General features: G+C 39.0%; 1 pseudogene; it reads right to left on the bottom strand.

Annotated features, from left to right (window-relative positions):
- On the bottom strand, positions 7,365 to 9,728 carry ABCB10P3 (ABCB10 pseudogene 3; annotated as a pseudogene).

The following is an 11,204-nucleotide window of genomic DNA, read 5'->3' as shown; positions in this document are numbered from 1 at the left end:
CCCACAAAAACAATTAACATTTGACTTTGAAAATTAAGACAAAAAATACAATGATGAATATTTTCTTGTAAAAGCAAAGACAGTAAAAATATTCAGATTTAAAATAAGCCTGAGAAAAAGCATGATTTCCTTGAGCTTACCTAAGTAAACTTATTTACAAGTGACTGTATCAATAATTAGCAAAAGTAAAAGTCATTATGAAATCCTCCAAATCTTTCAAAGTACTATCTTACATTCAAGCATTGAGTTTGCCCATAAAATTATTTAAGCTCAACCTTTTCCTCAATCTCCAAAACTCTGGCGTGTAACTACACAAACACTTCAATAGGGGACAGAATCTCCTTTTATCATTCATTCTACCAAACATCAACTTCATAAGAATTAGAATCAAGTGTAATAAGAATGAACTATATAGAATCATTGGTATAAATTTATAGGTGTTCAGACATAACCTTTAGACATATTTGTCAGTGTACATGTAAACAATACTCAATAACTTCTTTAATAGAGTTCTCCAGAGAAACAGAACCAATTGGATGTGGGTATATAACTCAGTTATATATTTCATCAGCTTCCTTTTTATGTAATAGAAACTAACTACAGCTAATGATGAATTTTTTTCATTCATTCATCATTAAAAGGGGAGAGAGAAATCCAGGCTGGGTTTGTGCCATTTTTATTCCCTCACAGTTCTCTTCTTGCTGCATGATTCTTCCTTTCAGATATTAACCAGAAGGAATGGTTAGCCTGACTATAGCTCTAGAGGAGCAACACAGGCTCTGGATAATGAGGATGCACAGGCTTTAATCAGTCCTAGCAGGAGGTCTTGGCTTAGACAACTATGTAGAGTTGATGGTATCCCTATAGGAAAAAAATATATATATATATGTTTTTGTGGTAGCAGGACAGAGTCAGTTTCAGACATTTGTTCAACAACTGTTGGTGTTCAACATATATTAGTATTTTGCACTAGGTACTATGTACTAAAAGTATAGTAAGGAATAAAAATAGGGAAATAAACAAAAACAAAATAAAGAAACAGAGAAAATTCCTATTACCCTTTAGGAAAAACAACATAAAATAAAGTAACAGAATCTAGAAACAGAGAATAACAAGATAGAAGCCTACTATATACCACCATTATCAACCTGTCAAAATAAACATTGTCAGTAATGAGACAAACTGGAATCATGTACCACCTGATAGGATGCAATGAAAAAAACGCAGCATCAATTCTGTGATATTCTTGCCAAAATGCATTGCCTGACTCTAGTCACAAGGAAACCTCAGAAAACCTAAAGGGAGCCATTCAAAAAAGAAGGAAGGGAAAAGGAAAAAGTAAGGGAAAGAGGAGAGGAGAAGGAAGGGGAGGGGGAAGGGAAGGGGAGAGGGAAGAGAAAAAGGAAGGGGAAAGCGAAGGAGAAAGGAAAGGAGAAAAGGAAGGAGAAGCAAAGCAAAGGAAAAAAAGAAGAAAATATGGGCCAGAAATCTTGGTTAAGTTAGGTCTAAAGATCTATTCTTGATACAAGGACATTAAAAAGACATGACAATGAAAGGCAATGCATGATTCTGAACTTGATCCTTTTGCTATGAAACATTATTGGGACTATTGGTGAATTTTTTTTTTTTTTTTTTTTGAGACTGGGTCTCGGTCTGTCGCCCAGCCTGGAGTGCAGTGGCGCGGTCTGGGCTCACTGCAAGCCTCGCCTCCTGGGTTCACGCCATTCTCCTGCCTCAGCCTCCCGAGTAGCTGGGACTACAGGCACCCACCACCACGCCCGGCTAATTTTTTCCTTTTTTTTTTTGTATTTTTAGTAGAGACGGGGTTTCACCCTGTTAGCCAGGATGGTCTTGATCGCCTGACCTCGTGACCCATCCGCCTCGGCCTCCCAAAGTGCTGGGATTACAGGCGTGAGCCACCGTGCCCGGCTGACTATTGGTGAAATTTTAATGCGGACTTGATAATTAGATGTAGCAATATATTAATATTAATTTTCTGGTTTTGTTCGTTGTACTGTGCATGTATTGCATTTGGGGGGGCACATATATTACTGTAACAGATTTGTAATATATACAATTATATATATGTATATACATATATAGACACAATTGTGTTTGTAGAAAATATATATGAAAGCAAGGTTTTTCAACTTTGGCACTATCGCTTCTGACATTTGGGCCACATAATTCTTTGTTGGGGGCATTTCCTGTGAATTGCAGGATGTTTAGCGACTTGGTTTGCCTTTAATAACTAAATGACAGTAGCATCCTCCTCACACCTTTCCCCAGGCTAACAACTAAAAATATCTTGAGATATTATCAGATGTTTCCTGGAGGGCAAAACTCCCCCTGGTTGAGAATCAGTCTACTAAAGTATTTGGAGATGACAGAGCATCAGGTTCGTTTCTATATATTATTAAAGTATCTTTCAAAGTTGAAGGTAAAATTAAGACATTTTCGGAAAAATTAAATGGGCCAATTTGTCACCAGCAAATCTGTACTACAAAACATGCTAGCAGAAGTTTTCTGGCCTGAAGGGAAATAACATCGAATCTAAACTCCAGATTAGAGGAAATGAAAAGCATAGAAATGGTAAGTATATGAGTAACAGGAAATACTTTTTTTTAATCTGCCGATTTTGTTGAAGGGAAACTGACTATTTAAATTTAAAAAGATATCATTTTATTGTGGGGTTTATGATGTGGACAGAAAAACTTATACTAAAAAAAATCACAAAAGACAGAGGGGGAGTAAAGGAAATGTTACCGTCATCAGTTTTTGTTGTTGTTGTTTTGGGTTTTTTTAATAGACTTTATTTTTAGGGCAGTTGTAAGCTCACAGCAAAATTGAAAGAAAGATACAAAGATTTCTCATACATCATTGTGTCCACACAGGCACAGCCTGACCCCTTGCTGTCATTCTCCTCTGGAGTGGCACATTACTTACCGCTGATGAACCTGCACTGGCACATCCTTATCACCAAGGTCCATAGTTATATTAGGGTCCACGCTTGCTGTCATACATTCTATGAGTTTAGGCAAATTCATATACCAGTATAGTATCATGCAGAATAGTTTTCTGCCCTGAAAGTCTTCTGTGCATATGAATAGGATAGGTGGAGCACAGATCACTTTTTAGGAAAATGTTGCCTTGTTTTGATTTGACAAAGTAGGCAACACTATCAATCACTGGAGAGAATGTAAAAATAGAACAGATGTCATCAGTTTTTTACATTATATATGAAGTTGTCAAAAATTACCTCGAAGTAAAATTTAGATTAGTTAAGTATAAATTGATGATTATTGTAATACAAATAACTCAATACAAAAAAGCGTTGCAACTAACTCATCTATGCAATTTAAAATGAATACTTAAAATACAATTAAACAAAAATATGAGAAGAGAAACAAGAGATTGTACAGTTTTTAAAAGTGGCAACACATTTCATTTAACATATTTATGAACTAAATTATTCAATTACAAGGTAGAGACTGTCATATTAGACAAAAGAATGAGACCCAACTAATGTTGTCTACCAGAAACATACATTAAACATAAAGACACAGATAGATGAAAAGTAAACCTACAAGAAAAGATAAACCATATACACAGCAAGCATTAGGAAGCTTGTGTGGCTACATTAGCAAAATGCAATGTAGACTGGAAAAGAGGGTGCATTATAAGAGAAAATGGGGGCATTTCATAATTATGAAAGAACCAATTCATCAGAGGACAATAATATTGCTTATATTATTGTCCTCTGATGAATTGGTTATTATATTATTGTCCTAATATGACATATATGTCCATAATTATGAAATGCCCCCATTTCATAATTATGAAAGGGACACCAACTTAATAATAAAGCCTCATAATTCATGAAGGAAAAAGCAGAATTGAAGGGAGAAATGGATAAATGACAATAATAATTAAAGATTTTAACATCCCTCTGTTCATCACTGATTGAACAGTAAGACAAACCATTCGTATGGCTATAGAACATTTCAACTTCATTATAAATCACCTTGATCTTATTGACATTTATAAAAACTACATTTCAAATGCTGAATATACGTTGTTTTCTTGTGTATTGAAAGCACCACCAACATAGGCCAAATGCTGAATCAAAGAGTAAGTTTAAATGAATTTAAGCTTTAGATTTTATAGAATATATTCTCTGATCACAATAAAATTTAATTTGAAATCGATGACATAAGAGATTCCTAGGAAAGCCCCAAATAGTTGTAAATAACATGAAACACTATTTAACTCATAGTTCATAAAAGAAATCAAAAGATAATTTAGAAAAAATATGAAATAAGGAAAACAGTGTATTAAATAAACATCTGCACCTAGATGTTTATTGCAGCACTATTCACAATAGGCAAGATATGGAATCAACCTAAGGGTCCAGCAACAGATGATGGTTAAAGAAAATGTGGTATATAGGCCGGGCACAGTGGCTCACGCCTGCAATCCCAGCACTTTGGAAGGCCAAGATGGGTGGATCACTGGAGGTCAGGAGTTCGAGACTAGCCTGGCCAACATGGTGAAACCCCATCTCTACTACAAATATAAAAATTAGCTGGGCATGGTGGCACGTCCCCAGCTACTCGGGAGGCTGAGGTGGAAGATCACTTGAATCCGAGAGGCAGAGGTTACAGTGAGCCAAGATCACACCATTGCACTCCAGAGCAAGACTCCATCTCAAGAAGGGAAAGGAAGGAGAGGAGAGGGGAGAGGAGGGGAAGGGAGGGGACAGGAGGGGAAAAGGAATAGATACACAATGAAGTACTATTCGGCCATAAAAGCAACATGCATAGAAATGGAGTGTATTATGTGAGTGAAATGAGCCAAGAAGAGAAAGTTAAACATTACAGCTTCTCACTCATATGTGGAAGCTAAAATATTTTGATCTTATAGAAGTTAAAACAGAGGATGCTAGAGGCTGGAAAGTATAAGAGGGAGGGAGGGATAGGGAGAGATTTGTTAAAAGATTCAAAATTAAAGCTAGATAGGAGGAATAAGTTCTAATGCTCTATACCATTATGGTATGACAATAGTTAACAATAACATATAGCTTCAAATAGTTAGCAAAGGATATTGAATGTTCCCAAAACAAAGAAATGATAAATGTTTGCAATGATGGATATGCTAATTACCATCACCTCATCAGGGTAATTAAATATATACACTATGAGTATTGAAACATCACTATGTACCCATAAATATGCACAATTATTATGTGCCAATTAAAAAAATAAAATAAAATTATGATAATAAAAGCTTCATATTTGTGGTGTAGAGTTAAATTGAGAGGGTAATTTATTATTTGAAATTCTTCTATTAGAAAAATACGTAGGTTTAAAAGTCAATGAAAAAATAAACAAAACGTAATTTGAAAAAATAAAATAACAGGTAATGAAAGAAATAAATGAAATTGAAAGTAAATAAATTCACAAAGTGAAAAGTTCCTTTGAAAAAATCAGTAAAGTTGTTACATACTAGTAAGACTAAGAAAAAAGGACTGATAAAAGAAGAAATATCATTACAGAACCTCTATATTTAAATGATAATAACTATTATGAACAATTCCATACTCAAGAATTTGGCAGCTTAAAGTTCTGTAAAGAGACAAATTACCAAAGCTTATTTAAGAACAAATTCATAATGTGAATTTTTCTGTATCTATATGTATCCAGATAGTCTAGGTTTTCTAATTTCTGGCCTATGGTTGCTCATAGTAGCCTCTAATGATCCTTACAATTTCAACAAAGAAATTCAGAAGAAATTGAAAAATTTATTGAAGCAGATAAAAACGGCAACACAACATACCAAAACCTATGGGATACAGCAAAAAGCAGTAGTAAGAGGGAAATGTATACCTATAATTTCCAAGATCAAAAAAGTGAAAAACCTCAAATAAATAACCTGATGATACATCTTTTTTTAAGGTCACTATAAATTTTAATCTATGATATAAAATATTACCTACAGATATAATTGAACATCAGGTATCAGAAAATAAAACATAACAATGAAATGCAATTTTGTAAATACTTCTATGGTACAAGCATTATTTTCCTCAGATTCAACCTTTTAATTGTGTTTTGTTTGCTTTCTGAAAATCACACTTTATAAAGAACACAAGTAGAGCTTGTTAAAATGATTGTCACAGATGTACTGTTTACTAATTCAAAAAATACTACATTCATTCGCTCATATCAATTTTATTCATTAATTATGAAGAAGAAAATATAATATTCCATGCTTGTCATGAAATAGCGGTTTCTTCTTCCAGTCTAATCAGGGAACTAATAAATGCTTAGTTCATGGCAAAACTTCCATTTGATTTACATTGACTTAATTACCTCTTAGGGTCTAGCCTCATCAATGGAGAAAAAGCACTTTTTCTTGAGGCAACAGCACATTAACAGCACTGAATACAAAATATGGCAAATTCAATGGCTGTCAGCATTGCTTTAGGAATTTTGAGACTATAAAAAAACTATAACCATGAATAAAAGAAAAGGGCTTATTAATATCTTCTTTTTGGGAGAGTGATACATTCTGAAGGTTTCTTGTTATTCTGTTGAATAGCAAGGACTTCCAAACTTAAGTGTCTTAAGGCTGAAAATTAGTTACATTCCTCAGATTTTAGCCTTATTAATGAAATTCCAAAAGTATTATAAGATTTAGTATGTCTTGAAATTATAAATTTGTAACAGATATTTTTCAAAATACATGCCTTCAAACAACTTAAATGCAAAAATCATTCATTCTTAATAATACCTAGCAGTTCATCCCTTGCTTCCCAGAAGTACTCATACAAACATGTGAATTTAAAAAATAGATTTTTCTGTTCAAAAAATAAAGCTTCTGCCCTTTTAAAAACTTGTCAGGCTTTCATTTGCCAAAATGTTGAAAACTGCACATATTCAAACATAGTTCCCGTAGGAACACATATTCCTCAACTCTCACACCTTTGAAGACACAGGAGACGGGCAATATAAATGTTCCCTTCTTTCCAGCTGATGTTAAATAGTTAGGTTTGCTTCATGAGATTATCGGAATAAAGGGTTAGATTTTCATTTTCCATTACTCTATCTAGTAAAATTAGACTTAAAGTAGGTAGAATACTACCAGAAGAATTACACAGTGATTGGCAAACTGGCCTAAAATAATCAGGCTTTTTATTTATACTTCCCTTTTTAAAGTTGTTATTTGACAACAGCTTCCATCTTTAACAGCAGGCAAAAGAAAATGAGGTGCCATGCTATATTAATTAAAATATTCCACAATGAAAGAAAATACAAAACCTGAAAATAACTTCAGTGCTACAGACATTTAAAAAGTTACAATGGTTAAAACTCTGAATAAAAAGATCTTGAGAACAGGTACATTTCAAAGCAATATTTTACACGCTTTGGAAAAAATAGCTATTTTTCAAATAACTTGATATATGGTTTACATATTTCATGCAGTCTCTGAGGTTTTTTTTTTCTACAATACTGTTTTGCATTAAAGTCTCTCATGTTGTTTACCAGTAATTGTTTCCTTAGGCTGAAATAAAACTTTGCTTGTTCATTAGTTTTCTGTATATCCCATTTGGTTTTGAAAGCAGCTCTTCATGTTTTCCATATTCAGTAATTTTTCCTTGATCAAGAACAGCAACCATATTAGCATTCTTAATGGTGGAGAGATGATGGGCAATAACTAACGCTGTTCTTCCATCCATCAGTGGATCTAGAGCTTCTTGAACAAGGTACTCATTTTCAGCATCCAGCGCACTGGTTGCTTCATCTAGGAGAAGAATTTTGGGATTCTTCAGCAGAGCACGGGCAATTGCAATCCGCTGTTTCTGCCCACCTGAGAGGAGAACACCCTTTTCTCCAACCACAGTGTTGAACCCTTGGGGGAAATTCCGGATCAAGACCACTGCATTGGCCACTTCAGCCACTCTCTGGACTTGCTCAGCGGTCACAGAGGAAGGCCATCAGCACCATAAGCAATGTTCTCAGTGATAGAGCAAGAAAACAAAATGGGTTCCTGTCTCACTGTCCCAATCTTGGATCTCAGCCACACTGGGTTTAGCTGACGGATGTCATGGCCATCAAGACTGATGGTTCCAGAAGCAGGGTCGAACAACCTCAGCAGGAGCGAAAGCACTGTTGATTTGCCAGAACCACCTGGGCCAACCAGTGCCGTGACAGATCCTGACGGAATGGAAAGGCTGAAATCCTGAAATATGGGCGCCTCCGGGCAAGCGGGATCGGCAAAATGCACGTTCTTAAACTCCAAAGCACCCTGGAAGCTTTTCTCATTTAAGATAACCCTTCCCCCTCCTTAAAAGGCAGATTGGGCTCTCTCTCCAGGAGCTCCCAGAGGCGCCCCCCGGCACCCAGTCCTTTCATCAGCTCCGAGTAGAAAGAGCTCAGACCTCCAATGCTTATTCCAACCCCGAAAGCATACATAGGAAGGAAGAGAGTTCACCCATGGTCATGTGGGCACTGCCCATCAGCAGCCCCCCTTTGTACAGGACAGAAAGCACAATCAGGTTTCCGGACAGCCTAGTTCTCCAAAGAAGCCAGCCCGAGCGAATGCCTCTTTCCTTGCTGACTACATCACATGGTCCACTTTGCTGGCCTATTTTTCTATTTCAGTCATTTCTTTCCCAAAAGCTCGAACAGTTCTTAACATTTCCAATACGTTCCTCCTGAGTGGCTTGTGCCAGCGAATCCTGGGTGACTTTGGTCAGTTTCCGTAGATATCGTCCATAAATTACATCAATGATTGACACTAGACGCACCACACTCACAACAAAGGTGGCCCGATTAGGTGAGACACAAAACATCATCCTGATGCCTACAGAAGCCCGGGCCCCGGCCCTGAGCCCATCTGAGAGGTTTTCAGTCACTGAGCGCCCCAGGAGTGCAGTGTCCGATGAGAGGCGGTTAATCAATTCCCCTGTGCCAGCCTTGTCAAAGAAAGCAACCTCCTGCCCCAGAATGGAGGAGAATAACGAAGTTCTCAGCCTCTTCACAACGCGCTGACGTGAAGTTTGCATGAGGTAGACACGAATGGCATTGGCGGCAGCACCACATAGAAACACGCCACTGAGGCCAAGGCAGAGGCGGGTCAGGTTGTCGCTGTAGTCCACAGTGGGGTTGGTATAGATGGCATCGATGATCTTCCCCAGAAAGAAAGGGGCAGACATGGAGATAACACCGGACATCGGAGAAATCCAACCGCAGCTGCCAGCCTCTGGCGCTCAGGGTACTCCAGCCCCAGGAGCTTCCCGGCCTCCGAGAGTCCGGGCGCCATGGGTCGTAGCCGCTGGTCGTCCCGGGAAGGCGCCGCCCGCCCGCGCCGCCAGGCCTCCTCCCCTGCCGAGGCAGTGGCGGTGGGACCGCCCGGGAACCCGGCGCTCGGGAGCCGAGGAGCGCCCGGCCGGCAAGAGCCCCGCACCTGCAGCTGCCGGGCCCAAGCCCACAGCCCCGGGAGCCGTCCGAGGCCCGCGTGGCCCCCCGAGCCGCCCAGACCCCCGCCCCGGCAGCAGCTCCTCCAGCGGCGCGCGGCTCCAACGCCCCAGAGCAGCGCCGGCCCCGCGCCCCATAGCCGCGCCAGCCTCGGGGCAGTGAAGGGCGATATGGACTGGGGGCGCGGCTGGCCGGGGCCCACACACAGGCTACCGGCGGGAGCCGCCCTGGCTCTGCGGGGCCCGTGGCGCCGATACATCTTAAAAGAACTAGAAAAGCAAGAATAAACCAGACCCAAAATAAGTATAGAAGAAAGGAAAGAATAAAGATAAGAGCAAAACTTAATGAAATTGAAATGAAAACATACAAAATATGAACAAAACGAAAAGTTCGTTTTTTAAAAAAGATAAACCAAACCAGTAACCTTTAGCCACACTAAAAAAAAACAAAAAACCCTAAATAAATAAAATCAAGATGAAAACGGGGACATTTTCATTGATACTGTAGAAATTCTAAGGATCATTAGAGGCTAGTATGAGCAACTATAGACCAATAAATTAGAAAATCTAGAATAAATGGATACTTTCCTAGATACATACAATCTAGCAAGAATGAACCACAAAGAAATCCAAAACCTGAAAAGACCAATAAGTAGTGAGACGGAAACAATTTTCCCAGGAAAAGCCGGGTGCAGTGGCTCACGCGTGTAATCCCAGCACTTTGGGAAGCCGAGGCGGGCGGATCACGAGGTCAGGAGATGGAGACCATCCTGGCTAACACGGTCAAACCCCGTCTCTACTAAAAAAAATACAAAAAAAAAAAAAATTAGCTGGGCATGGTGGCGGGTGCCTCTAGTCCCAGCTACTCAGGAGGCTGAGGTAGGAGAATGGCGTGAACCTGAGGGGCGGAGCCTGCAAGTGAGTCGAGATCAGGCCACTGCACTCCAGCCTGGGCGACAGAGCGAGACGCCCTCTCAAAAAATAAAAAAAAGTTTCCCGGGAAAGAAAAGCCCAAGACCCGACGGCTTTACTCCTGAATTTTACCAAATATTTTTAAAAGTAGCACAAAATGCAGCAGCAGGATTCTCCTGCCCCAGCCTCCTAAGTAGCTGGGGCTACAGGTATGCACCACCACGCCTGACTAATTTAAAACTGTTTTTGTAGAGACAAGATCTCACTATGTTGCCCAGGCTGGTCTCAAACTCCTAGGTAAAATGATCCTCCCACCTCTGCCTCCCAAAGTGTTAAAATTGCAGGCATAAGCCATTGCCCCCGCCTGAAAAAAATTATATGTATATATATTTATATTTTATATATATATATATATGTATATATATATATATATATATATATATATATATATATATATATATATATGTTTTTGTGTTTTTTTTGAGACAGAGTCTCGCTGTGTCACCCAGGCTGGAGTGCAGTGGCACGATATTGGCTCACTGCACCCTCTGCCTCCAGGTTCAAGTGATTCTCATGCCTCAGCCTCCCGAGTAGCTGGGATTACAGGCATATGCCACTACACCCGGCTGATTTTTGTATTTTTAGCAGAGACATGGTTTCACCATGTTGGTTAGGCTGGTCTTGAACTCCTGACCTCAAGTGATCCACCCACCTCAGCCCCCCAAAGTGCCGGGATTACAGGTGTGAACAACCATGCCTGGCCAAAAATAATTTTTTTAAAAAGATTTTGTTCTGATTCTGATGGGAAAGGGAC

The sequence above is a fragment of the Homo sapiens genome, chromosome 15 (genome assembly GCF_000001405.40).
Source record: "Homo sapiens chromosome 15, GRCh38.p14 Primary Assembly".
In the NCBI taxonomy this organism is placed as follows: domain Eukaryota; kingdom Metazoa; phylum Chordata; class Mammalia; order Primates; family Hominidae; genus Homo; species Homo sapiens.
The sequence above is the reverse complement of the archived record's forward strand: the minus strand, read 5'-3'. Positions and strand labels throughout refer to the sequence as shown.